Below are 27,376 nucleotides of genomic sequence, written 5' to 3' on the forward strand. Positions count from 1 at the left end.
TGCTATTCATTTACTGCTTCTAATTTGCTCTAGACTTGGAGATATGGTAACAAACTTGTTACAAATGTGTACACGATGAGCATAATGAGTTGAAAGGAGGGCCTGGTCCCTAGGGGGGAGTGCGTGGGCTGGGGGAGGGGTCCATCAGAGGCCCCCTCTAGACTAATTCTCCCTTGGTTCCCAAGGTGGGCCAGCTTTCCAGAAGTGTGGCGACAGTCTCTGCCAAGCTTATGGAATTGTGTGTTTCTGGCTCCCTCTGCCAAACAGAGTAGTTTTCAAAAGGTAAAAGCACACCCAGAGCCTGTCTTTCTTCTGACTAAACGCCAAGTGGCCCTGCCAGCTGTTCAATGACCTGACAGAGCCGTGGTTTGCCGAGTCCTGGTGAAGTTACATCATCGCTTAAAAACAGCAGTGTGACTACCAGTATTTTTGAGAAAGTTCAGTGGGTACGAGAAGTAGTGCACAGGAGAGGAATCTTTCCTTTTTCCTTGTAAGCACTGCAGACGTGGCTCACAGGAGAACATTACTTGGCCCAAAGGCAAGAGCATATCAGAAGCCTCTGTCTCCTGCGAGAAACCTGGGAAAAATCATCTGTAGGGTAACAGAAAACCAAAAACCTGGGAATTAAAGTAGACCTCTGAGACTGCCCAATCTGAGCCCCTCCAAACAAACAAGGAAACTGAGGCCCAGACTGGGAGCCAGCAGCAGCCAGCTGGCTGACACAGGGCTCCCCCTTCCCACCTGGCACTCCAGTCTCCACAGAAAGCCAGGGCTGCGTTAGTTCTGTACCAATGAATCATACCAAGGCGACAGTGACAGATAACTGCAAACACCCACGGTGCCATCCCCGCGCTGGCACACCACACAGCTTCCACTCAAAAAAAACGGAGTCCCTTTCTTCATTATAGTCATATAGCACACAAAAATCAATTCACCTTGTATTTTAAAACTCAATTTCCAAATAAAGCCTTCAGGTAGAGTCCTGTTTTCTTCTCAGGCACACCCAGCCTGGGACCAGAAGCCCCAGGTGGGGGTAGAGGGTGGGCCAAGAAGTCTAGCAGTCCTGCTGTGCCATATACAGGTGAGAGGCGTCCATGTGGGGCTTTAGCCACCGTGTGGGGTTCTTAACACATTTCCCGGACTTAAGGCCCTTCCTCCCAAATTCCAGCCCACCCAGGATTCAGCACGCAAGTGGAGGCCATCACTGAACCTCTGAAGCTCATCCTGCCCCAGGACGATGGGAAGATCCTGCAGACAGCCTGGGCCTGGGCCTCAGTTTGCTCATCTGTCAGGCTGAGGGGTTACTCTGGGTGATTTTCAGGGTGCCTTCTGGCTCTGTTGTTCTGTATGAATCAGCTTTCCAAACGGGTTCCTTCTGTGTAGGTTACAGAAACCCTGGCAACCAACTCGTCATCCCTTACCCTGGCCTTCCTGAAGGGGGAAGCAGGCCACCTCCCACCCCCTGGTCTATGTCTGGGACTTGGCAGCCAAAGTACATCCCAGAAGGTAGGCGCGACTGCTGCACCAAAGAGTGGACACCCCCATTCCCTTCTATCCAGTCCGGGGAAAGGGAATTAATACAGGGTGGTCCAGGGGAGGCAAAGGGGCGAACATTAGAGGGTCTCCCCGCCCTCAGGTTCCCAGGCCTGGCTTGGCACCGGGACTTCCTTGTCCCTCTGATCACCCATTCCAGGAGACCCGTGGGTGTCCAGGAAAAGCTCCTAGATCAGCGCCCCTCCATGGCCCTTCCCCAGCCCAGGACTTAGCCCTGTGGCCTCAGAAGAGGCAGTCAGCTCCCCGAGGGTCCTCCAGATCCCAGGGCCGGCTGCGCTGACCCTTGGTTTCCTTGGCCTTCCCCATGCGAGGGGAGGGAGGGTTCCCAAAAGAGAATCGCCCACGGAACCGCAGCCCGCGCGCAGTCACTCGGTAGCTCGGTGCCCTACACACGCTGCCTCACCTTTCGGACCTCAGGCTCCTGAGCTGCGAAGCGGGGGTTCGAGTCCCCAACCCTCGGTGTCACCGCAGTTCAAACGAGCGCACCCTGCGCGCGGCTCGACCACTCTCCACCTGGGACAGGGCCAAGGGCACACGCCCCCACGCCGGCGCCGTTTCAAGCCGAGGAGTCCAGCAGCCCAAGGAACTTCCGGCGGCGCCTCCGCTGCCCGAGCCGGCGCTGGGACCCCGACCTGCCCGAGGCCCGCGCGCCGGCGGCGGTTACGTAAGCCGCAGCGGGGCCGCGCCGCGCCACTTACCGCCGGCCGCGCCCGCGTCAGCCCGTCCGCCGGTCCCTCCGCCGACTCGCGGCTCTGTCCGCCCGGCCCCGCGCCCGCCGCCGCCGCCCACAGCTGCACGTATCCCCTCAGCGCCGCCGCCTCCGCCGCGGCCGAGTCGCCGCTGTCACATAGTGGAAAACGTGACCGCGCGCGCCGCGCCCGCCCCCGGCCTCCGCCATTGGCCGCGACTCCGTCTCATCTGCATACATGAGGGGCGGGGCCTACGAACGCCGCGCGCCCATTGGTGGCCGCGCCCGTCGCTCTTTTTACATAAGACGCACATGGAACTCCATGTTCACCTCGTCGGTTCCTCAATGGAGACGCGGCGCGTTCGTGCTACCCGTCGTCCTCCCTAGTGGTCTCATCCACTTCCGGCGTCGGCGCCTTCCATTCACTACGCCCTCAAGCCCGCCAGCTCGGGGAGCGCGGAGTGGCGCGTACCATTGCGGGCGGGGGAGCTGGGCGCGGGGCTCCTGCGCACCTCCGGCCGGCCTGGCAGACCCGGCGCGCCGAAGCCGGACGAGGGAGACCTCCACCTCCGGCCACCGGCCAGAGGCGCGCCCCCAGCGGCCAGGGCCGCGGGAAAGTCCGCGCGGCATGCTTCATTCACGCATTCACATTCATTCATTTACTCATTCACTCACTCATTCATCGCGGGGCCCCGGAGCAGCCCAGGAGAAGGTGGCAGCACCGCCCTGCAGCAGCTCCGGGGGCACGCCCACCCGGGCCTCTGAGGTGCCTGTGGTCGACACTTGTCCCGGCAGCTACCAAGTGACCTTTCTTATTTTTGAGACCACGTGTTGCAATTTTTGGTTCAGGAAATAGAGTCATTGTTACTCTGGGGAGGTACAAAAGAAAGAAATGATGTTGTCCCTGCCCCCAAGCGCATCACTAGGGAGAAAGGACTATCTCATAAAAAGGAAACTTAATCAAATGCTAAATTGGGCGATGTGGGCTATAAATTAACCAGAGCTATCCCCACAGGCTCCGTGAGAAAGGCAGCACTTCCAAGGCGGGTAAGATGGGCCCTGAGAAAGGGACGCCTTACAACGGTGCAAGCCGTAGAGACGCAGGAGCCAGGGGTAGGAGGTTGTCCTGGGAGACAGCGCGGGACCCTGCATCACCTTGTTTCGGTAAGCATTGTGTGGGGCATGTGGAGCCTCTAAACTTCCATTTAAAGTGTCAGGAGAAAGAGTACAATTTCCCCGGGTCTGGGTAGAAGCCTGAGACTTACAGGACAGGAAGGAGCTTTCAGGCTCCCACGCAGCAGGCTCTGAATGTGTAGGCTCTCATGGGGAAGGCGAGACTGTCCAAGAAGCTGGAGCCCGCAGCATCTCTCTTTACTCTTCTTGTTCTTCTTTACCTGGACTCACCTGGGGACCAGGGATGGGACAGAAGGAAAAGTTATGAACCCACATCAGGAATTCCTGAGTGTGATAACTCCTTCTCTTCTACTTGACAAGGTGTGTGTGCAACTTCTCAGATGCAAACCAGGGCAAATACCAAGTTCATCGGGGCAGCCCTTCCCACAGAAGCCCCGGGAGGCCTGCATGCTGTTCACACACTCAGTCAGGTGGCCCCTCCTCCTGTTCCTCTGACATTGACACCTCGACACACTCCCCGCCCCCTCTCCCTAACACATACACACACAAATGCCAAGCAAACCCAGGCCCGGCTGCTGCGCCCTGCACACACCCAAAGGCTCTTTTGTTTCTTCCCTCCCATTGACGTCAATGGGGAGCTCCATTGTTCTGGAAACAAGAGTAAACAGACAGCTCATCCACACCTTACCGAGATTCTTCTTCATGCTTTTGCTGGGTCTTGCTCCATATTCAGCCTGCTACCTGATGTCACATTTCCTCCCTAAATGTAGCCTTTTTTATTTCCACCAATAAATCTGGTAGAAATATATTGAAATCAATTCTTTTAGAAATTATCAAGTGCTTTGGGCTCTAGGACTCTTCAGAATCTCATCTATTTTCAGTGATTCACAGCCAGTTTCTTCTTTCCTATTATTGGAAATTTGTGTACACTCCACAAATACTTGTTGACACCTGAGTGTTGAGGGGCATGCAAAAATACATCTCACTGCATCCCTGCTTGTAAGGAGTTGGTGATGTAGAAGGGGGGAGGAGGCAGATTCAGAGGCAATTTTGTCTAAGTTGTGGTGTGTAGGTCCTGAGGGAATAGGACAGCCATGGACAGAAGCCTCCATCCCAGCTCCAACAGAGGACAGCGCTCAGGGGATGAGCTCCTACAATCAGGCCAAGTGCATGGATGCCATTCTTGCTGAACCAAGATGGTGACAGAGAGAGAGCGCAAATTGGGGCAGTCAGATTGGAGAAGGAAGGGGGATGAACCCTTTCCTAGCCAGCCCACACTGGCCAGCTGTCACCTCCAGCACGGAGCTCAGAGCTCTTGGATAGGGGAATTGCTGTTGGCACTGTGGGAGGCAGGCTGGCTAGGAGACAGCTAGTCCTTTAGTTGGGGGTGGAGGTGGAGTGGTAAGCCAGGGTCCCCACCTACCTTGGGAATGCTGCCAGTGGGAGGAGCTGGCCTCCCAGCTAAAGGCTGCTTGGCCCCTGCTCCACCCACTCCCACCAGCCTGTTTCCACCAGTAAGCCTGGCCCAAGTTGGCCCACCCATCTATGTCTGGGCCTGCCTGTAGGGCCTCTCTGCACCCAGGCCTCCATGCCCTTGCCAGTCCACTCACTGGCCCTCTCATTCACTCATGCACCCAGCCAATTGTTTACTGAGCAACTACTATGTACCAGGCAACTGTGCTGATCACTGCTTCCTCTCATTGTAGGTGGCATGGTTTGCGGGTTGGCTAGCTGGAGGGCCAAAGGACAGGCGGCTAGGAAGAGAATTCCCTCTGCAAATGGAGGAGGTGGTGGCCAGCAAAGTCTCTCTAAAGAGATGGAGGGGACACTGTCAAGCTTTCTGGCCCCCTAGTGCTGGAGCCCCTTTCTTGGGCCTAGGGACATTGGAGATGATAATGCCCAACCCTTACTCTCCAGCCTCCCTTGAACCCAGCGCTGACCTACGGCTGACCCCAGCTTGGCATGGTGGCAGCTCCTGGCAGGGAGACCCTCAGCCAGCTCACAGAGGTGACCTCAAGGGCGCGGGCACCTGTGTCCAGGGTCTCAGGGTGAGACAAGGACAACTTGCCTCTAGTGACCCGAGGGCAGGTGCCTGTCCCTGGACATGAGGTGGTTTGCGGACCGGTATAAAGAAAGTATCTTCCAGCTCTTTGGGAGGCCAAGGTGGGAGGATTTCTTGAACCCAGGAGTTTGAGAACAGCCTGGGCAACATAGTGAGACACTGTCTCTACAAAAAACAAGAAAGCCAGGCATGATGGCATGTTCCTGTGGTCCCAGCCACTTGGGAGGCTGAGGCAGGAGGATCCCTTGAGGCCAGGAGTTCGAGGTTGCAGTGAACTGTGATTGCATCACTGCACTCCAGGCTGGGCAACAGAGCAAGACTGAGATCCTATCTTTTCAAAAAAAGAAGAAGGCATCTTTATCATGCTAGCTACCTACTGAGAAGGCTTTTTGATTTTTAAACTAAATATAGATCCAGGGAGGCTGTTCTTTGTTTAGGGGAGACATGTGGGTGTGATGTGCACACACGTGTTCTCATATGTCTTCCCCAAGGAAGTCACAAGATTGAGCCATCCACGATGGGTGTGCAGTCCCCATCTTTCTTCGCCTCACCCTGGAGAAGAGCCTGGGGAAAGGAGCTTGCTTGGAGCCTGGAATGTAAGCATCCATGTCCCAATGGCTCCTTTGCAAAGGATGCCCTAGAGATCACAGAGCTGGTGGCACAAGCTAGGACCCGCATTTGATGTGGAATAGAATGGTGAGAGTGGGCATCCTTGGCCCGTTCCACCCTGGGGGAGGAAGTGTTCAGTATTTCACCACCAGGTATGATGAGCCTTAGATGTTTGTTTTTTTATAAATGTCCATTGCCATATATTCTAATTCGCTAAGATTTTTGTTTTTCTTTTTTATAGATGTCCATTGCCATATATTCTAATTCGCTAAGATTTTTGTTTGTTTTTCTTTTTCTTTCTCTTTTTTTTTTTTTTTAAGACAGAGTCTCACTCTTTCGCCCAGACTGGAGTGCAGTGGCATGATCTCGGCTCACTGCAACCTCCGCTTCCTGGGTTCAAGAGATTCTCCTGCCTCAGCCTCCTGAGTAGCTTGGATTACAGGCGCACGTAACCACACCCAGCTAATTTTTGTATTTTCAGCAGAGACAGGGTTTCATCATGTTGGTCAGGCTGGTCTCGAACTCCTGACCTCGTGATCCGCCCGCCTCGGCCTCCCAAAGTGCTGGGATTACAGATGTGAGACACCCCTCCCAGCCTTGTTTTGCTTTTTTTTTTTCATCATACATAGGTGCAGTGGGCTTTTAATCCATGGCAATAGTTATTACTTCAAAAATACCTCTCCAAAATACATCTAATCTTTTCTTTTTTGCAGATCTGCAAATAATTTAAATTGCCATAGCTTTGTCTCTGCTATACAATACTCTGTATAGACTTGTTTACTTCATTATTGTATCCTAAGACAAAAAATATAAATGAATAAAATAATTAGTACCTGAAGATTCTGTCTTTTTAATGTTATACATATCCTCTTTATTGCTACAGGAATTCAGTGATTAAATGTGTACCCAACTGACTTCTCTTATTATCAGTTTTGCAAATAAAAGGCATGCTTTTAACCAAAGCCAAGAAAAAATTTGCTATCATGTCACTTGAGAAAGGATTAAAACCTCAAACTTTCTGGTCATTAAGGCCATTAAGAAAAACCAAGGACTTGGGAGGCTGAGGCAGGCAGATCACCTGAGGTCAGGAGTTCGAGACCAGCCTGGCCAACATGGTGAAACTCCGTCTCTACTAAAAATACAAAAATTAGCCGGGCGTGGTGGCACATGTCTATAATCCCAGCTACTCGGGAGGCTAAGGCAGGAGAATTGCTGGAACCCAGGAGGCAGAGGCTGCAGTGAGCCAAGATCATGCCACTGTACTTCAGCCTGGGTGACACAGCAAGACTCTGTCTCAAAAAAAAAAAAAAGAAAGAAAAAGAAAAAAAAGAAAGAAAAACCAAGGATTTCACTGAGACGAAAGCTGTGCCCTTTGGTGGGGAGGGGGTAGCAGTGGGTAGGTGATGCTGTATGGCGCTCCTGGTTTGAGTTGCAGGTCAACTCTCTGCCTCAGGAACTTGTGGACTAATCTGTGGATCAGGTTTTCTGGTCTCAGGCAGCTTGAGTTTCTTTCCAGGGCTTCTGGGCAGCCAGTACCCCTCACTGTCCTGAAGGAGCCCAAGGAGAGGTAACTTGTCAAAAATGCCTGCCCTGTCTGAGCTGATCCCCCCCACACCCAAGGTGATGCCCCCTGTCTGAGGTGATACCCGTGTTCAAGGTGATCCTCCACGTCCGAGGCATCTCTTCCTTCCCAGGTGGAGGGTCTCTCATCGGTCAGGGTGTCATCCTGCTGGCCTTCTGGGCCACGGACCTTACCCGGGCAGGCCCCTGCAGCAGGCTCCCTGGCTCTGTCCCTCTCTGTCTAGTGTGCGTCCTGCAAGGCTGTTGCCTCAGTGTGGTTCTGCCAGCATTCCTGGGGGCGTCACTGAGGGGTAGCCCAGTTGGCACCTCCAACCATGGACATCTTGGAGTCAGGAACGGGGGCCTTGCATGCTCTGGGGACCAACAAGGCCTGCTGTCATTAGGGTCCCTGATCCTGGGTGACACTAACAAGAATGCAGGAGCCCGAGTTTGGGGCTTCACATTCATACTTGAGTATGGCTGTCGGGCCCCCCGTGGCCTGTAAACAAGCTGTGATGGAGCACGTGCTTGCTGTGTTTAGGCATCACGCTTGGCGCTTGGCACACATTCTCTTCTTTCATCCTCACCACTCTATAGGACATGCGCCTGCATTCCATTGTCCCTTTGCAAAAGACATTCTCAACACCACGACGCCAAAGGAATCCTGTGTGTCTGTGTTGTATGTCATCAAGGAGAAACCACCTTTGTCTGCAGAAAGATCTCATGGCTACCCTCACCACCCTGCCCCTATGAAGCCTGAGAACCAGCTGGCTCAGCAGGGAAGGCCGCAAAGTCAGGAGCGACCAAAGTCCAAGCTCCAACGTGCCTCTCGTTCTCCAAACATTCTCCCCACCCAAAAGCTCCTCTGTGACTTGGCGAATGCAGGTGCTCCCTGCGTTCCATTAATATAACTCCGCTCTGAGTCCACAAGGACTCACAGGTGGGGATGGCTGGGGTGCAGGTCCATCTTGGGGATCACCAGCCCACCAGCGATGCCAGCTCACAGTGCCCTCCTTGGGAGGGTGAAGGCTCAGGCCTGTGCACCTGCCTTGCCCTCTGCCTGCAACAAGCACTGCTTCTGTGGCTCACAGAGTGTTTCCTTTGGTGTTTGGGTGTCTGTTTTCTCCTGCTGGCTTCTCCCTGGTGCCCAACATGGAAAAACATCACTTGTCCCTAAACGGAGTCTTGTTGGTTGGAAGCAACAAAGTTGTTGTTGTTGTTGTTGTTCTTCTTCTTCTTTCTTGTTCTTCTTCTCCTTCTCCTTCTTTCTTCTTCTTCTCCTTCTTCTTCTTCTTTCTCCTTCTCCTTCTCCTTCTTCTTCTTCTTCCTCTCTTTCTCCTCCTTCTCCTTCCCCTCCTTCTTCTACTTCTTCTCTTTCTCCTCCTTCTTCTTCTTCTTTTAGAGATGAGGTCTTGCTGGAGTGCATTGGTGCAATCATAGCTCAGTGAAGCCTCAAGTCCCTGGCCTCAAATCGTCCCCCTGCCTCAGCGTCCCAAAGCTCTGGGATTACAGGCATGAGACAGGCAAAGGGGTCTGATTGGGTTACCTCAGGGTGGAGGCATCCCCTCGAGCGGTGAGTGACCGCTTTCCTGGCTGAGGGCAGAGGCAGGAGCCCGAGTGACTTAGACCTGCGACGGCAGTGATTGTGGGGCCTGAACTGTGGTGGTTCCATTGTGAAGAGCAGCTGGGAGCGAAGACTGCCCGTGTACTCATCTTCTCGCTCCTCCTCAACAGATGGAGTCCTGCGATGAGGAGGAAGGGAAATTGGGAGACACCCTACCCACTCCCCAGGCCACCACTGAAGCTGGGGAGCTTTGCTACAGGGAGGAAGCCATGTGTAGGTGGACTGTTGGGGTGCACAGAGGAAAAACGGGCTCCCTCTGGCCCTGCTGCCACCCACACCCGGGGAACTCTTTGCAAGCACGGATGGTTTGTTTGCATGATGAGGGGTGACACGTGCTGCTGAATGAAGCAAATGGTAGGTCAGGGGATCCACACAGCCCTCCTGCTGCAGAGTCAGTCGTGTGCCCTCCTGCTGCAGAGTCAGTCGTGTGCCCTCCTGCTGCAGAGTCAGTCGTGTGCCCTCCTGCTGCAGAGTCAGTCGTGTGCCCTCCTGCTGCAGAGTCAGTCGTGTGCCCTCCTGCTGCAGAGTCAGTCGTGTGCCCTCCTGCTGCAGAGTCAGTCGTGTGCCCTCCTGCTGCAGAGTCAGTCGTGTGCCCTCCTGCTGCAGAGTCAGTCGTGTGCCCTCCTGCTGCAGAGTCAGTCGTGTGCCCTCCTGCTGCAGAGTCAGTCGTGTGCCCTCCTGCTGCAGAGTCAGTCGTGTGCCCTCCTGCTGCAGAGTCAGTCGTGTGCCCTCCTGCTGCAGAGTCAGTCGTGTGCCCTCCTGCTGCAGAGTCAGTCGTGTGCCCTCCTGCTGCAGAGTCAGTCGTGTGCCCTCCTGCTGCAGAGTCAGTCGTGTGCCCTCCTGCTGCAGAGTCAGTCGTGTGCCCTCCTGCTGCAGAGTCAGTCGTGTGCCCTCCTGCTGCAGAGTCAGTCGTGTGCCCTCCTGCTGCAGAGTCAGTCGTGTGCCCTCCTGCTGCAGAGTCAGTCGTGTGCCCTCCTGCTGCAGAGTCAGTCGTGTGCCCTCCTGCTGCAGAGTCAGTCGTGTGCCCTCCTGCTGCAGAGTCAGTCGTGTGCCCTCCTGCTGCAGAGTCAGTTGTGTGCCCTGTGACCACGGACACGGGCAGACATTCCCGGGCACTTCTCGCAGTGGGTGCTTGATGACCACGGTGTGGCGGCCCCAGGGGGGGTTCCCTGAGACCTTGAGCATAAACCCAGGCATCCCCACCAAGGCTGCAGCCACCGTGGAAGAGCTTGCTGGGCTCACGTGGTTGATGAGAACGCAGAGAGAATCCCTGCCAGCACCACGCTCTGGGCTCAGAAAGTGCTGAGCGGTTCATGGCAGGCAGGGCCCTCCTCGCGGGGGACATCTTCAGCTCGATTCCTCTGGGCACTGCCGGGCTGGAGCAGTTTTTCCAGGCTGGTGTGTGACTGGCCTCAAAGGAAGAGTCACAAATAACCCCCAAAAGGGGTTCAGATCTCTACTTGAGACAGGAACGAGGAGCAAAGAACAGGGAGGACCTGAGGCTGCACTGCCAATGCAGACCTTCCACCACATCCACCCCGCACATCCACCCCCCACGCTCTGCGGCTGGCCAAACCCTAAACCAAAGAAGGCGAGAGGACCAGGAGAAATGACAAAGGAAAGGGGCTCTCGGGAGGAAAGGCATTGTATGGAGAAGGTGCTGGAAGAATAGTGTGAAAACTGGAGAAGCTATCAAGAGGAGGAGCACAGGCAGGAGCCTGGGGCCAGGAGTCCCCCAGGCAGGGAGCTTTGAGACCAGAGCCTTGCATTGTCACCTCCTGGTCCACCCGGCAGGGCCTCTGAATCCTCTGAGAAGGGACTCAGAGAGTGAGTGAAGACACGATTGAAATGAGATTCCTAAAGAGCACTCTTGTAACGCTAGGGTCCACCCTGTGAGGTTCGCCTGGATCTGGGCTTCCCCACACCCTGTTTGAGTCTTTCAAACCACAGGAAGATGAGGAATGGGACCCTGTTCCCCGAGCTCCCTGCAGGGCAGTGGCAGACTGTGTGCCCTGGACCACATATGCTGGAAACAGAAGGGGGCCCAGATAGTCCCGGGCTTGCTAGACACGGTAGCCTGGGTGGCTGTCACTGCTGGCCCAAGAAAGGCCACTGCCATAGGTGCTGCCAGGGCTCTTCCCAAAACCTTTCAGTGGGAGGCAGGAGAGAGCCAGTGGATAATACCCTTACCCTTTGCCCTCTGTTGGGCCAAAATCCAAGGCATGGTTTCCCAATGGACCAGGGCATTGGCGTTCACAAGCTGCATGAGGACATGCCGCGTGTCTGGCTTGCCTCGTGTGGCTCATCAGGAAGCAGCAGCCAGCATGGGGATGCCTCACCTTGCCTTTTCTTCCTTTTTTCTCCACTCTCCCTGCCCTGGGATTGTGCCTCCCAATAAAGCTTTTGTTCTTTTTTTTTTTTTTTTTGTGATACGGAGTCTCGCTCTGTCCCCCAGGCTCTAGAGTGCAGTGGCATGATCTCGGCTCACTGCAAGCTCCGCCTCCCGGGTTCACCCCATTCTCCTGCCTCAGCCTCCAGAGTAGCTGGGACTACAGGCGCCCGCCACCACGCCCGGCTAATTTTTTGTATTTTTAGTAGAGATGGGGTTTCACCGTGTTAGCCAGGATGGTCTCGATCTCCTGACCTCGTGATCTGCCTGACTCATCCCCCCAGAGTGCTGGGATTACAGGCGTGAGCCACCGCGCCCGGCCAAAGCTTTTGTTCTTAAGCCTGTTCCCTGGCTCTGTTTTCTAGGGAACCTAAACTAAGACACTGGATACTGAAAATGGTTTGACAAAGCCGACCCTCACTCAAGGCTTCACGTTGGAATCTATCTTCCCACCTGTTTCAGAGTCACAGGGTCTCCATACCTCTGGTAAGTGGGATTGTAATGACCAGGGGTCAGCAAACTATGGCCTGTTCTTCCATGGCTTGTGGGCTAGAGGGAAAGGGAGGGGGAAAAGTCAGAGAATACGCTGCAGATATCACACGAGGCCCACAAAGCCTGAATTACTTACTATCTGTCCTTTTACAGAAAAAGTTTGCTGACCGCTGGTGACCGTTCATCACACAGTGGCGTTATGATTACTGGAGTTTTCACCTGTGGTCAGTTATGATGGGTGCAGCCAGAGAGCAAGGCATTGGGTGGTGCTTCCTGAGTGGGAGACAATGATAATGATCATGATTATGCAGAAGGGTGGTGCCTTCTTATGTTGGAGCTGAACACTCAGAAGAAAGGAAACGGTGGGCTTGGGAGAGTTCCTTGCCAACCTAAGACAAACTTTGAATGCCCAAGGGCCTCACTGGCAGCTCAGGAGATTTACATCTCCTACAGCCACTGGGTAGGAGAAATCACTGTTGCAAATCGGCCAGGCACAGTGGCTCACGCCTGTAATCCCAGCACTTTGGGAGGCCAAGGCAGAGGGATTACCTGAGGTCAGGAGTTCGAGACCAGCCTGGCCAACATAGTGAAAATTAAAAATTAGCCATCTCTACTAAAAATACAAAAATTAGCCGGCCGTGGCAGCGTGCGCCTATAATCCCAGCTACTCGGGAGGCTGAGGCAGGAGAATCGCTTGAACGCGGGAGGCAGAGGTTGCAGTGAGCCAAAAAGAAAAAAGAAAATCAGACCTCGAGGCTGGGCGCAGTGGCTCACATCTGTAATCCCAGCACTTTGGGAGGCCGATGGGGGCAGATCACTTGAGGTCAGGAGTTCGAGACCAGCCTGGCTAACATGGGCAAAATCCCCCTCTCTACTAAAAATACAAAAGCTAGCCAGGCGTGGTAGTGCGTGCTTGTAATCCCAGCTACTCGGGACGCTGAGGCAGGAGAATCGCTTGAACCCAGGGGGCGGAGGTTGCAGTGAGTCGAGATCACGCCACTGCACTCCAGCCTGGGCAACAAAGTGAGACTCCGTCTCAAAAAAAAAGAAAAAAAAGAAAAGAAGACCTCAAATTTGATAAGGGTTGAAGGCTACAAACGAGACTAAAGTCACAGCCTTGACAGGCCTGCTGCATCAGTCAGGAGCCAGATAGTGAATGGTCCTGAGACCATGGCTATGGACAATTGAGTAGATAAGCTGAGAATCTCAAACCCCCAAATTCTCAGAAGCCTCCAAGCCAACAGAAGCAAATACTTCCTCCTTGCCGGAGAACAGGTTGTTCTTACGGAATACCTTACCTGTGGTAGGTGTCCTGCAAGGTGTTTGTTCTCAAGACCTGCCCTCACCACTGCTCCTTGATGCCAACATCCAGGGGCAGGCTTCACCGTAGCTAGAGCAGAGAGGCATATGCTCAGCTCTGGTCAGAACTGTCCTGTTCTCCAAAGGAATTGCAAAGCTAATGTGTGCCAGCAGGAGCTGAAGGAACACAGGTGACGCTGGTTCTTCGCAGTGTGGTGGCGAAGGAGCATAACGCTAGATGGGTGGCTGGAGAAGAATTCGTTGGCACAGGGGCAGTCATCTGTGATTTAAAACTCGATGCTTTGGCAAGGACACCAGGAACTGATTCCAATCATTTGTTGGGCTGACTCCAGTGGTGTGCTAGTTAATGTGTAACAGTTGGCTCTCTGGAAAAATAAAAAAAAAGAAAGAAAAAATATGTAGCATTTATCTATTTCTGTGACACAGATACGCCCACATGGCCAATTTCAAGCTCCCACCATGACCCCCAGTGAAAGTGGTGATGCATGTAGGGCCACATGCATGGAGGGAAGAAGCCTGCCCTGCTTGCCCTGGGTTCAGGCCAACGTGGCCAACCTAAGCGATTCCTTAGAAAATAGAGTTTTGATCTGCCCAGTTACAAGGAGAAATGGAGCTCCCAAAGTTCGACATCTAGAAGACTATTTTTCTAAACTCTTTGTTAGAGGATTTTAAAAGGGGCTGTTCTTACCAAATCTCAATAAAGTGTCCATTGTAAGATATTTCTCAAGGTTATTAAGGCTTCTTATAAACTCCTTTTGCTATAAGTCAGTTCATGTTGGAAGCCAGCCGCAAAAATGATAATTTTGGATTTGTAATCATTGCCATTGAGACATTGTTTGTGGTAGGGACTGGCCTTTCTGTGTTAAGCCACTCCTCCTCTTCGTGGCCTTAAAATCTACCATCAATACAAAGGAGGCTGTTGTCTGCTGAGTGAGGGCCTGGGTAGGGCAGCGTAGCTCTCCCACATATTGATGTAAATCATTAGGGTTCCAGTGGAAGATGCAGGTTCTGTCTGAGTGAGGAGAGCCAGAAGTCCGGGCTGACCTCAGCATTTTAGTCCCCAACTTATTCCAACTCTTGAGGTCAAAGGCCAAGAGGAGGTCCCAGGAAATCTGGGAAGAGTTTGCAGTGTTCCCAATTGTTTCCTGGATGCAGGAAGGGTGAGCGTTGTCAGCCATGGACTTGGTGGGCATGAGACCCTGCTGATCTTTGTGCCTCATGTTGGCCTGAGAAACCAAGATTTGCAATTTGGTTTGAAAAATATGAACTTACCAGCCAGGCACGGTGGCTCACGCCTGTAATCCCAGCACTTTCAGAGGCTGAGGTGGGCGGGTCACCTGGGGTCAGGAGTTCGAGAATAGCCTGGCTAACATGGTGAAACACCATGTCTACTAAAAATACAAAAAATTAGCCGGGCGTGGTGGTGCACACCTGTAATCCCAGCTACTTGGGAGGCTGAGGCAGGAGAATCACTTGAACTCGGGAGGCGGAGGTTGCAGTGAGCCAAGGTCGCGCCATTGCACTGCAGCTTGGGCAATAACAGTGAAACTCTGTCTTAAAAAAAAATGAACTTACCTTATAGAGGAGGTGTATGAATTAACAGATAGGTTTTTAGGGGTGTGCCTTCATGTCAGTGTATATCTGGAAGAAAAACCTGAAGGAATGCCCAAATTTTCATAGTGCTTTCCTCTGGGTGGTAGAATATGGGTGACATTAGTTTTCCTCTTTATATATTTCAGTATCCTTCATATTCTATAATAAGCATTTACAATAATTTACATAAATTATAAATTATATGTAATATACTTTATTATAAGCATTTGATAATTAGAAAGCATAAATATAGTAATGCTATAGACTATTAAATATAAAATAAGAAACCTATTTTGAGCAGGATATTTGGCTTAAAATGGCTTGCTTTGTTAATAGAGATGGAGAACCTGCATAGTAAAAAGCAAAAGCATTAAATTTTTTGTATTGTGAAGTTATTTTTATTTGACTTCTATTCATTTCCAATCTTTGTCTTCAGTAATTAGATATGAGTTTCATGCTATTTTGAACAACTGTTGCTGGAGGTTTACCAAGCTTATGTTTATCATCCAAACCTCTGTAGAGATTATAAACAAATAAAGTAGTCTATAGAGCAAAATTCAGATGATGAAAACAAATAAACCACAGAAAGCAATTCAACAGATACAGACCAGGAATGACTGTGAGGGCAACAAATAGCTAACATAGGAGCTGTGAGCACTCAGATGGGATTGAAGATATTCAATATTTGAGGGCTTTTCAGTCAAATCGGCACAAAAATGCTACAGAAAAGTAAAACATAAAATAATGGGCATGGGCATATCTGTGAAGCAAAAGAAGGCAGAGGTGGCAATGTTGCTAAAAGACAAAGCAAAACATGTGCTTTTCTCGGCCAATATCCTATTCTGACAGCCATAGGAAAGAATGTGCCAATGGAAAGCCCCAGAAGGGGAAATGTAAAAGTGTCTATTTCCATTGGGGTGGAAGGAGGAATGTGTCTTCCTTGCTTGTTTTCTCAGCTCTCCACATGGTCTTCCTGCTTTGCTCAGGTGGACTCCCGTGTTCTTTCTCACTTGGATTAAAAACAATAACAACAACAACTTTTTTTTTTTTTTTTTGAGATGGAGTCTTGCTCTGCTGCCAGGTTGGAGTGCAGTGGCATGATCTCAGCTCACTGCAACCTCCACCTCCCGGGTTCAAGTGATTCTCCTGCCTCAGCCTCTCAAATAGCTGGGACTACAGGTGTGTGCCAGCACATCCAGCTAATTTTTGTAGTTTTAGTAGAGACGGGGTTTCACTATGTTGGCCAGGATGGTCTTGATCTCTTGACCTGCCCACCTCGGCCTCCCAAAGTGCTGGGATTACAGGCGTGAGCCACTGCACCCGGTCACAACAACTTTCTAGGAGTGTCTGCTTAAAGGCCATGTATCTCTGAGATGTGGCGGTGAGGGTCTTCCCAGAACCGTTGGGGCAGTGTGTGGAGGGGTGGAGGGGTCCCTGCTCCTGCTCAGGACTCTGGATGTCGCCCCCAGCCAGGTCACTGTGCCCTTTGGGGCAAGCACTTGTTCAGGTGGTTTGGGCCCTTCCTCCTCTGATGCCCAGAGGCGCCCAGGTTTGAATGTGGGGCTGCCCTACCAGAGCTCATGTTTTCCTATTGATGAAGATGAGGCTGGGCCCTGTGTGTCACCCGGTGCAGACACTGAGTCCTGCCACCAGGACGTCCATCTGTGCTGGACTCATTAGAGTCCTGGCCCTCATGGGATGAGAAACGACGTCCCCTGTCCCCAGCGTTCACTTCCTGCGTCCCCAGCATTCACTTCCTGCTAGCACCTGAGACCAGCGACTTGGGTCTCATGGTGCCTCCCACTCCGGTTTTCCAGCTCCCATTCTTCTTTGTCGTCTCCATGCGCCCGCTCAGGACTCCTGAGTTCTCGAAAACTCAAAACTCATCACACAACTGTCCCTCCCAGGCAACTTTTGATGGCATCCCATGACAGGGATAGTGGAGGCTTTTTTATTTCTAGGAATTAAGTTCTTGTCATCTTGGGCTACAGGTTTAGGGCTTCTCCCCAAGGCAGTTCGGAACTCACTCAAAGTAAGAATCATTTCCCCCTTCTCCCAAGGATGCACTTCACCTGATCCTGTCCAAGGCTTCTCATGGTTGTTTTTACTCTTTTCTCCCCATTTCTCCTCCCTCTCCCCAATATTCAGGACATAAAGGTTTCAGGCCATATTTATCTAACTCCAGAGATGACTTTCCTTTAGGACATCTTATGTCGGCCAACAGAGTGCAGTGGCGTTTGCTGCCTCATCTGAGGAGGGCTCCCTGCAGACCTGTGGGCGGAGCTTCTCCTACTGGGAATTGCCCCTCCAGGGCATTGGAGGGGAGGCCAAGGCCTATGACACCCAGAAAAGCCGTTTCTAGCCCTGGCAGCTCTGTACCAACAGCTGCATGGCCCAGTGTGGGGGGTGTGTGTGTGTGTGTGTGTGTGTGTGTGTGTGTGTGCTATCAGCAGGGACCAGCGTCTTTCACTGGCATCAAAAGACTGACCCATTTTCAGCAACAATATTTTTGCAGCCGACGAAGCCTTTGTTAGGTTTGTATAGGCGACCAGTTGAGCCGGGTTTGTGTTTTAGAGAAGTGGTGAAGTCTTAGCAGGTGGGAAGGAAGCTCGGCCATGGCTCTCCAGTGAACTCCCCCGTCCTTTCTTCCTGGAAAATTTCCAGGACCCCATCTGAAGCGTCCCCTCCCAGGACTGACTCTGGTTTGTCTCTTTGCTGGGTTAGGTAGGAGGAAGGCTAGTGGGATGACCATAGCTGATTTTTGTCATCTACTGCTCAGTCTGGATTCCCCACTTCCTCTGCTAGCACCTCTGCTGCGCTTGGGCACCCACCTGGCAGGAGGACACAAACCCTCATCCCAGCCACTACACGCTCTTCAGGCTGCAACTGCTGTGCTTGTCCATTTCCCACCAAAACTGGGCAGGAGCGTGCCAAGTGATGCCCCAGAAGCCAGCTGTGTGCCAGGGTGATTCTCCTCCACCCCGGTTCCAGCAGCCCTTCCTGCTCTTGAGGATCAGAGCCAGTCACCCCTGCTGGGACACCGACTCCTTTCCTTGCTTGCTCGTCTTTTGGCACAGAGCCTGAGTGACCAGTGACAGCCATCGCTTATTGTCCACTGGATCCCCTGGTGGCAGTGTTCCCCCTCTAGAGAACAGGCCTCTAGACCTGCAAAGCACAACATGGAGGGGACGAGAAGTTCAAATTCACCAACTGGATCCCTGGAGGTCATGGTTGGGGGCTGTTCCTGCTTCTGCTCCTGGGTTCCCAGACCCATGCCTTTCATCAGCTGGAGACAGCAATTTATGATGGTCACTGATTTAGGGTATATTTTGTGTCTTAAAGGATGGAATCCCATCCTCAAAGGGTATTTTCTCCTCAGCAGAGCTAACAAGAGGACCACTCCATCACTCACCCAGATTGGCAGCATCTGAACGGCATGGTAAGGAATGGGCCCAGTGGAGCCCACGGTCATGTACCCAACACCATAGATCCTTTGCTGTAAAGTGAGTCTTTTTGGTCCAAAGCAATGTTATGTGGTATTCTATATCCATCGATCAAACATTTTATAAACCTCCAGATAGTGTTCGTAAGGGCAGGAAAGACAAATCCACACTTGGGATATCCAAATCCACACTTTGGGTCAGTCAAAATGAATCACTGCCTCACCTTTAGGGCAATATAATTGAGTTTAAGTCCAATGTAATCAACCTTCCACCTAGTGGCCAGTTGAGTTCCTCCCGGTGGCACTCTGCTGGGAGCTCAGCTTTGGTGTCTTGCTGTTAAGCTGGATGTTTAGCAGTTGCTGGAACTAACTCAGCCTTGGCGAGTTGGAGGCCATACTGTCAGGCCCACACCATCCTGCAACCCTGCCACCACTGCTACTCACTGAATGGCCTATGACAGAGGCAGGCTGACTCCGAACGGCCAAAGCATCTTCCTACATGGCTGCTGGGTGCCTTTTCCATGGTGGTGCTCTCTGGTGGCTGTTAGCAGGGATACAGAGACCTTCACATGCCTGTCCACTCCCATGGTCCTAGCTGCATGCATGACCCTTCCACTAAACTCCTGGTCCCCAACCTTTGAATTTTCCAGGCCCAGAGCAGCAACAGCCGTCTTTTGCCGCTGTCCATGGGTCTGAACATATTCTTATGCCAAGCCACTTCTCTTTCTACACAAAATGGAGAGCTACGTGTACTGCCTAAGCATGGTGGGCAGAACGGTGGGCCCCCACACACGCCCATGTCTGGAACCTGTACATCTGTTTTGGTACAGGGTAAAAGGGACTTTGCAGATGTCATTACATTGAGGATCTTGAGATGGGAACATTATCCTGGATTATCTGGGTGGCCCAATGTAATCATAAATGTCCTTATAAGTGAAAGAGGGAGGCCGGGTGTGGTGGCTCACGCCTGTAACCCTAGCACTTTCAGAGGCTGAGGCGGGTGGATCACCTGAGGTCAGGAGTTCGAGACCAGCCTGACCAACATGGTGAAACCCTCTCTCTACTAAAAATACAAAAAAAATTAGCTGGGCCTGGTGGCGGGCACCTGTAATCCCAGCTGCTCGGGAGGCTGAGGCAAGAGAATCACTTGAACCCAGGAGGTGGAGGTTGCAGTGAGCCAAGATCGCACAATCGCACTCCAGCCTGGGCAACAGAGCGAAATTCCATCTCAAAAAAAAAAAAAAAAAAAAAAGTGGAAGAGGGAGCCAGGAGGGCCAAAGTCCGAGAAGAAGGCGTGGCCATAGAAACAGACGTTAAAATGATGTCGTTTCTGGAAAGGGTGCATGAGCCAGAGAATGCAGGTAGCTTCTAGAAGCTGAAAAAGGAGAAGAAATGGATTCTCCCCTAGAGCCTCCAGAAGGATTACAGCCCTGACCACACCTTGACTTCAGCCCAGTAACACCCAGTTTCAGCTCTGACCTCCAGAATTGTAAGAGATTCCATTTGTGTTGTTTTAAACTCCCAAGTTTTTGGAAATTGGTTACAGCAGCAACAATGAACTAATACACCAAGTTTCTGTCCATGGGGAGATTGGGAGAGGCAGTCTGTCAGCACTGCCTTTCAGGGAGGCCCCGGAGTGAGGCTGCAGTGCAGCAGCTATCTATTTTTAGGCATTTTTTGCATCCCACACTGAGCCAACCCATGCATGAACCAAGCTCGGCCTATTTCTTCCTCCACTAGGTGGTCATAAGTGACACCGCCACCCAACACAGCAGTGATGAAGGTGAGGGACCTCCAGTGGTGCAACAGAGGCAGATGATAGGAGGGTCTTGTGCAGTTTATCTGTGGCTCTGGCCCTGCATAAGCCCAGTGCTGGATGTGCCCTTTCATCTTATCATAGATTTCTGTCGAGCATGCCTGACCTATGCCCTGGAGGCCCTGGCAGAGCCCGGCTCAAGGCAGGCAGCTCTAGTGGTGTGATCACCGCTTGGTGTCTTCCGCTCTGCTAGGGTGCAGAGGCATACCAGCATCTGTCTTCCTTTGCTGCAGATAGCGTGGCCTTACTCCAGAACCCCCAGGGTCCAGGTTGTGATTCTCCCACTGGGGGTTTGCCATGAAGTTATCACACACTCAGAGATTTAAAGCAACAAGGCATCTTTTCCACCATAGGTATCTCTAGAACCATAGCATCTTCCAGATCATTTGGCCTAATTTGCTGGATTGCTAGCACCATAGCCTGTGCCCACTGCAGCGTTCTTCCCCATGCTGGCAGCCTTTCACACCACCTGGTAAATGTGACCACGCAGTATTCCCAAGTGTGGCACGTGCTGCCTCCAGAACCCACAGAGGCGACCAGTCCTCGTGGTCCTTCTTAGTGGTGGGAAGTACACAATGTAGTCCTTCCTTCACTGTGGAGATGCCTGTTAAGCTCCAACCACTGGGCCCCTAAAAACTTCACCGATGCAGCAGACGCCTGGAACTTCACAGGGTTTCTCTCCCACCCTCTGCAGCACACGCACCTTAATAAGGCCTCTGAGGTTTCTCCTCGTCAATCTGGTCATCCAGTTTAATTAATAGGATATCAGTATACTGAACCAGTGCAGCATTGTGCAGAGTGTCTGGTCCATCCAGACTATATTAGGAAAGAGGGAAAAGAGTTAATATGGCCCTGGGGTGAGACAATCAGTGTGTATTCTTCTTCTTCTTCTTCTTTTTTGTTTTCTTAAGACGGAGTCTCAATCTGTTGCCCAGGCTGGAGTGCAGTGGTGCAATCTCGGCTCACTGCAACCTCCACCTCCCAGGTTCAAGCGATTCTCCTGCCTCGGCCTCCTGAATAGCTGGGATTACAAGCGCCCACCGCACCCGGCTAATTTTGTGTATTTTTAGTAGAGATGGGGTTTCACCATGTTGGCCAGGCTGGTCTCAAACTCATGACCTCAGGTGATCTGATGATCTGCCCACCTCAGATCCAAAGTGCTGGGATTATTGGTGTGAGCCACCGTGCCCAGCCAATGTGTACTCTTATCCATCCTAAATGAATGTAAGCGGCTTCTGGTTCTCCTCTTAAGTAGGGATGGAAATGAATGTATTGGCTTCCTACCATGGACTTGAGATTGTGTTGACCTGCTATAGCAAAGATACCACAATTGGGGCTCCTATTTGTTTGGGTTTGCAGTATTCCACTGTCAATCCCCAGGATCCATGTGGTTTTTGCAGGGGTTTGGCTAATTAAATGACTCTATAATGGGGAGAAAGTATACCTGCATCCTTCAGGTTTTAACAGTGGAATCTATTCGTCCCTTATAATTGCTGTAACTCTCTTCAGCATGCAATATTGGTTTTTATTTACTGTCTTGGCTGGGGGAGGGGCAGTGTCAGGGATTCCCACTCAGCTTCCCAGGTCTATAGCTCTTATTCCACAATCCCAAGTATCTGGCCAACATGGGGTTACCCCATATGCCAAGTGTGTCCACTTCAATCATTGCATTTGAGGGCTCGGGAAATGACCACCAGGTGGCTCCATGGACCCTGTGGACCTACCAAAATCCAAAGTGGGGCTAGGGCTCTATCACCTGACCCCGTATGCCCTCCCTTTAACAGGAGTCAAGATGATGCTCCATGTCCCCAGGATTCTGTGTGCAATAGTCCTTGAAATGGTTCTGTATTCCCCCTCCCTGTGTATAGTTACTTGAATGAGTGGCCTTAGGTTTCTTTGGGGAAGGACTGTGGGGGAGATTTTGGCTCCCTGCACCGGCAGTGATGTTGGGAACCTGGCCTTTCAATGAGTTCTAGGTCCAAAACCAGGCAAGGGATTGTAGCGGGGGACTGGGGCAGCCACTCTCAGCCTCCTGCTCATCCATGTTTGATTTATTTTAGTTTCGAAAGCTCGGCCACACCCTTGCTGACTGCTCATTCCCCTGGTCCCTAGGAACATTTTGTTGTATTATCCGGCCGCATAGCTCTCTGCATGTCAGGTCTTCCTGGCTACCACTCTGACCTTGCCACTCTTGGCTATAAAAACCAATATTACATGCCAAATATTGTCACTTTGGTAAATGAAGTGACCTCCGAGCCCTCTCACAGGACACAGTGGGCTGGTAGGTTTGCTGGCCCAACATCACGTATGTGCTCTAGTAGGCTCATTTCCCTACCATCCTCCATGGTGGGGCTGGAAGTTTTCCTTCACTTAGTGAAGGCCATAGCTCTTTGCAGGTGTCCAAGAGCCATTCTAACAGCCCATTAGCACTGTCTCCCTGGGACCCAGCCAGGGTCACAAGCTTCTATCACGGAAAGTCCTCCCACATTCATCAACTCTTGTCTTATCCGTCTTTATATTCTGTCCCCTGCTGGGTCCAGCACTCTTGGGATGCAGTCCTGGATGTGCTCTCCTGGATCTTGCTGGTCCATGCTAGGCAGATCCTGCAGTTCCTTCGGAATAGAGTCCCTCCCTCCCTTAGCAGGCCAGCATGTCCTAGCTAGGTTATGTTGTTGTTTGACCCTCATGATTGGTCTGGTGTCAGGAGGGGGATATTGGCATAGATCCTGAAAAACGCATGCATTGTCTTGCAAGGCAGACATCTCTCTCTCTCTCTCCCCCCGCCCCCCAACTATAACACACACATTCTCTCTATATAAAACACTTCAAGAAAGGGGGTGCTAGCCTTTAACAGGAGCAGTGGGCCTCCTCTGTAGGTCCAGATGATTCAGGAGAATCTGGGGATTCTAGTTTGTTTGTTTGTTTGTTTGTTTGTTTTTGAGACAGTGGTCTCTCACGCCCACCCTGGGGGCTTCAGTTGAGCCGGTCAGTGGTGATTCAGCTCCGAAATCTCAATTTAGGGTCCATTTCCTCTGACCACTTCTGAGAGCAACTCTCTTGGGTAGAGATCTCTGGGAAACTGGGTTTGCACCCCCAACTCCATCAGCCCTTGAATGCGGGTGCCCATAGGGAGCAGGAGGCACAGTAGGCCCCTTTGGCTAAGTCTCCCCAGAAGGGAACCTGGCTGTGAGCCCACAGGGATCACTGCTTCTGGCAGCTGGGGCAGTGTGGGCCTCAGCCCTGAGTGGCACAGCACCCACCACAGGGCCAAGGCAGCCATAGCTGAGAGGGCCACGCCTTTTTTTTTTTGAGACGGAGTCTCGCTCTGTCACCCAGGCTGGAGTGCAGTGGCATGATCTCAGCTCACTGCAAGCTCCGCCTCCCGGGTTCATGCCCTTCTCCTGCCTCAGCCTCCTGCGTAGCTGGGACTACAAGCGCCCGCCACCACACCCGTCTAATTTTTTGTATTTTTAGTAGAGATGCGGTTTCACCGTGTTAGCCAGGATGGTCTCGATCTCCTGACCGCGTGATCTGCCCGCCTCGTCCCCCAAGAGTGCTGGGATTACAGGCGTAAGCCACTGCGCCTGGCCAGGTTTTGTTTCTGGCGCCCGGCTGCGCCACTCCTTTTTAAAGACTTCCTCCTTCCTCCTTCAGGCACCCACACGTTCATGCAGCCAGTATTCATGGGGTGCCCTGAGGAGACATATGGACCCTGTCCCAGCCTTCCTGGACCTTGTGCACTAGCTGGGGAAAGTCATGCCCTTGTTTAAGCATGGGCCAGGGGGAGCTGGACAGCACCGCCGGAGCTTGGAGGAGGACTCCTGGGGTCAGTGGGAGTCAACTGCAGGCTTTCAGGGAGTGGCAGGTGGGATATTTCAGGTTGGAGGGCTCAGTCAATTTACCTTCAACAAAAGTGCCAAGAGGCCAGAGGTAGTGGCTCACACCTGTAATTTTGGTATTTTAGGAGGCTGAGGTGGGAGGATAGCTTGACCCCAGGAGTTCAAGAGCAGCTTAGACAATATAGCAACATCCTATCTCTACAAAAAAAAATAAAAATTAGCTGATGGCCGGGCGCAGTGGCTCACGCTTGTAATCCCAGCATTTTGGGAGGCTGAGGCAGGTGGATCATTTGAGGTCAGGAGTTTGAGACCAGCTTGACCAATGTGGCGAAACCCCATCTCTACGAAAAACACAAAAAAATTAGCCGAGCGTGGTGGCACATGCCTGTAGTCCCAGCTACTCGGGGACGCTGAGGCAGGAGAATCGCTTGAACCCAGGAAGTGGAGGTTGCAGTGAGCCGAGATCGCACTACTGCACTCCAGCCTGTGCAACAGAGCGAGACTTCATCTCAAAAACAAACAGACAAAAAATTAGCTGAGCATGGTGGCACACGCCTGTAATCCCAGCTACTTCAGAGGCTGAGGTAGGAGGATTGCTTGAGCCCAGGAACTTGGGGTTACAGTGAACTATGGTTGTGTCATTGCACTCCAGTCTTGGACGCAGGGCAAGTGACACTCTGCCTCAAAAAAAAAAAATGCCAAGAACACACATTGGGGAAATGATGATTTCTTCAATAAACGGTGTTGGGAGAACTAGATCCATATGCAAAAGAATGAAACCAGACCCTCATCTTGCACCATATACAAAAATCAGCTCAAAATGGATTAAAGACTTAAATTTCAGACCCCAAACTATAAAACCATAGAAGAAAACATTGGGAAAAACCTTCTTGACAGTGGTCTGGGCAATGACTCTTTGAATAGGACCCCAAAAGTACAGGCTGTGGAAGCAGAAATAGGCAAATGGGATAATATCAAACTAAAACGCTTCTGTACAGCAAAGGATACAATCAGCAGAGTGAAGAGACAATGAGCAGAATGGGAGAAAATATTTGCAAATTATACATCTGATAAAGGGTTAATATCCAAAATATATAAAGAACTCAAACAAGTCCATGGCGAGGAGAACAAATAACCCAATTCAAAAATGGGTGAAGGACTCAAATAGGCATTTCTCAAAAGAAGGCACACAGATAAATGGCCAACAGGCATATGAAAAAATGCTCAATATTACCAATCATCAGGAAAAGGCAAATTAAAACCACAAGTCATTATCATCTCACATGTGGGAGAAAGTTATGATCAAAGAGACAAAGGATAACAATGTCAGTGAGGATATGGAGAAAGGGAACCCCATACACTGTTGGTGGGGATGGGAATTAGCGCAGCCATTATTGAAAACAATATAAAAGTTCCTCAAAGAACTACCAATAGAACTACCTTATTTTATTTATGTATTTATTTACTTTTGAGACTGAGTCTCACTCTGTTGCCCAGGCTAGAATGCAGTGGCATGATCTCAGATCACTGCAACCTCCACCTCCTGAGTTCGAGTGATTCTCGTGCCTCAGCCTCCCGAGTAGCTGGGACTACAGGCGCATGCCACCACGGCTGGCTAATTTTTGTATTTTTAGTAGAGACGGGGTTTCACTCCATTGGCCAGGCTGGTCTCGAACTCCTGATCTCAAGTGATCCGCCTGCCTTGGCCTCCCAAAGTGCTGGGATTATAGGCATGAGCCACTGTGCCTGGCCAAAAAATAGAACTACCTTATGATCCAGCAGTCCTACTTCTGGGTAGATGCCTGAAGGATATGAAATCAGTATGTCAAAGAGGTAATTGTACTCCCATGGTCATCCCAGCATTATACACAATGGCCAAGACATGGTATGAACCTAAGTGTCCATTAGCAAATAAATGGAATACAGAAAATGTGGGATTTACACACCATGGAATACGAGTCAGCCTTAAAGAGGGAAATTCTGTCCTTTTCTTGGATGGATGAACATAGAGGACATTATGTTAAATGAAATAAGCTGGCCAGGTGCAGTGGCTCACGCCTGTAATCCCAGCACTTTGGGAGGCTGAGGCAGGCAGATCACTTGAGGTCAGGAGTTCAAGACCAGCCTGGCCAACATGGTGAAACCCCGTCTCTACTAAAAATACAAAGATTAGCCAGGCGTGGTGGCGGGCACCTGTAATCCAAGCTACTTGGGAGGCTGAGGCAGGAGAATCACTTAAACCCAGGAGGCAGAAGTTGCAGTGAACTGAGATCACACCACTGTACTCCAGCCTGGGCGACAGAGCGAGACTCCATGTCAAAAAAAAAAAAAAAAGAAAGAAAGAAAGAAAGAAAGAAGCCAGAAACAAAAAGACAAATATTGCATGATCTCAACTCATATGTGGAATCCAAAGTTGAACTCATAGAAGCAGAGAGTAGAATGGTGGTTGTCAGGGACTGGGGAGTGTTTGTGTGTATGAAATGCGGGTATGTTGGTTAAAGGGTACAACATTTCAGTTGGACAGGCTGAGTAAATCCTGGAGATTAATGTATAGCATGGTAACTGTAGTTAGTAATAATGTATTAATTATATACTTGAAAATTCCTGAGAGAGATCTTACACGGTCTCACTGCAAAAAAAGATGAGAGGAAATGGATATATGAATTTGCTTATTTTAATCATTTCCCAATATATACATAAATCAAAACATCATTTTGTACACTGTAAATATATACAATTTTTATTTGCCAATTATACCTTTGTAAAGCTGCAGGGAAGGGGAAGAAAAAATAAATGACATGGCAAAAATATAAAACTAAATTACAAAAATAATAAAACGTGCTCTGTGTAACTTAATCAGAGTGGAGAGTATCTGCCAGGAGTATAAGTAGGGGCTCCCTTGAGACACCTGAAAACTTCTTACTCATGGTGGTCTCTCTTCTCAGATGTGGTTGGGGCCTGTGGCGTGCAGGATTCCCCAGCTCCACCCTCCTGGTGTCATCTTTGCATTGACTGGGGCAAAGGAAGGGTGTCTTGGGCTGCCTGGGGAGGCAGAATCTTACACCCCTCACCCAAGAGTGGCTACTTACCAGCAGAGCTTAAGATTGTTGGGAAATTGGCATGGGTGGCTCAGAGGCCTTTGGTGGATGATGGGACCCAGGCCCCTGCCCCTTCAAAGTCATGGGACCCTCCTGGAAGGGCCTGAGGGCCTGTGAGAGGGAGGGTAGTGAATCTTTCCCTCGGACTGCCCATGG

At 51.2% G+C, this 27,376-nt stretch overlaps 1 protein-coding gene and 1 long non-coding RNA gene across 7 annotated transcripts in view, besides 6 other annotated features; one reads left to right on the plus strand and one right to left on the minus strand.

Moving 5' to 3' along the window:
* Positions 1-13,674, minus strand: part of PER2 (period circadian regulator 2) — a 56,022-nt gene extending 42,348 nt beyond the window's left edge. The window contains exons 1-3 of one of the 5 annotated variants that reach the window (XM_047446231.1): positions 13,411-13,674; positions 12,249-12,385; positions 3,508-3,646 (exon numbers count right to left, since the gene is read on the minus strand). The gene's annotated coding sequence lies outside the window, so the exon portion shown is untranslated. Of the gene's footprint in view, positions 1-1,957; positions 2,220-2,252; positions 2,407-3,507; positions 3,747-12,248; positions 12,386-13,410 lie in introns of those variants that run through there. The other 4 variants (XM_047446232.1, XM_005246111.5, XM_006712824.5 and 1 more) reach the window with 4 other exon arrangements.
* Positions 1,157-1,679: an enhancer, noted in NCBI's record as "H3K4me1 hESC enhancer chr2:239196189-239196711 (GRCh37/hg19 assembly coordinates)". NCBI's record gives its function as "activates a minimal SCP1, AML or CMV promoter by ChIP-STARR-seq in primed H9 embryonic stem cells {active_cell/tissue: H9 hESC(primed)}" and the evidence as "EXISTENCE:reporter gene assay evidence [ECO:0000049][PMID:30033119]".
* Positions 1,478-12,355, plus strand: LOC112268433 (uncharacterized). Of its 2 annotated transcripts, none has more exons than XR_002959458.2 (3): positions 1,478-1,506; positions 11,986-12,106; positions 12,266-12,355. It is a non-coding gene; the product is annotated as an uncharacterized LOC112268433 (long non-coding RNA). The 2 variants fall into 2 exon arrangements; XR_007088147.1 differs by lacking the exon at positions 1,478-1,506 and adding an exon at positions 2,571-3,406.
* Positions 1,764-2,658: an enhancer, noted in NCBI's record as "H3K27ac hESC enhancer chr2:239196796-239197690 (GRCh37/hg19 assembly coordinates)". NCBI's record gives its function as "activates a minimal SCP1, AML or CMV promoter by ChIP-STARR-seq in primed H9 embryonic stem cells {active_cell/tissue: H9 hESC(primed)}" and the evidence as "EXISTENCE:reporter gene assay evidence [ECO:0000049][PMID:30033119]".
* Positions 2,207-2,356: a silencer, noted in NCBI's record as "silent region_12493". NCBI's record gives its function as "represses an Ori minimal core promoter by ATAC-STARR-seq in GM12878 lymphoblastoid cells {active_cell/tissue: GM12878}" and the evidence as "EXISTENCE:reporter gene assay evidence [ECO:0000049][PMID:35858748]".
* Positions 2,697-2,966: a silencer, noted in NCBI's record as "silent region_12494". NCBI's record gives its function as "represses an Ori minimal core promoter by ATAC-STARR-seq in GM12878 lymphoblastoid cells {active_cell/tissue: GM12878}" and the evidence as "EXISTENCE:reporter gene assay evidence [ECO:0000049][PMID:35858748]".
* Positions 3,733-3,782: an enhancer, noted in NCBI's record as "active region_17380". NCBI's record gives its function as "activates an Ori minimal core promoter by ATAC-STARR-seq in GM12878 lymphoblastoid cells {active_cell/tissue: GM12878}" and the evidence as "EXISTENCE:reporter gene assay evidence [ECO:0000049][PMID:35858748]".
* Positions 13,164-13,364: a silencer, noted in NCBI's record as "peak4101 fragment used in MPRA reporter construct". NCBI's record gives its function as "represses an SCP1 promoter by STARR-seq MPRAs in K562 erythroleukemia cells {active_cell/tissue: K562}" and the evidence as "EXISTENCE:reporter gene assay evidence [ECO:0000049][PMID:32103011]".
* Positions 13,675-27,376: the final 13,702 nt, after the last annotated feature.

This window comes from Homo sapiens, chromosome 2 (assembly GCF_000001405.40).
Source record: "Homo sapiens chromosome 2, GRCh38.p14 Primary Assembly".
Lineage (NCBI taxonomy): Eukaryota > Metazoa > Chordata > Mammalia > Primates > Hominidae > Homo > Homo sapiens.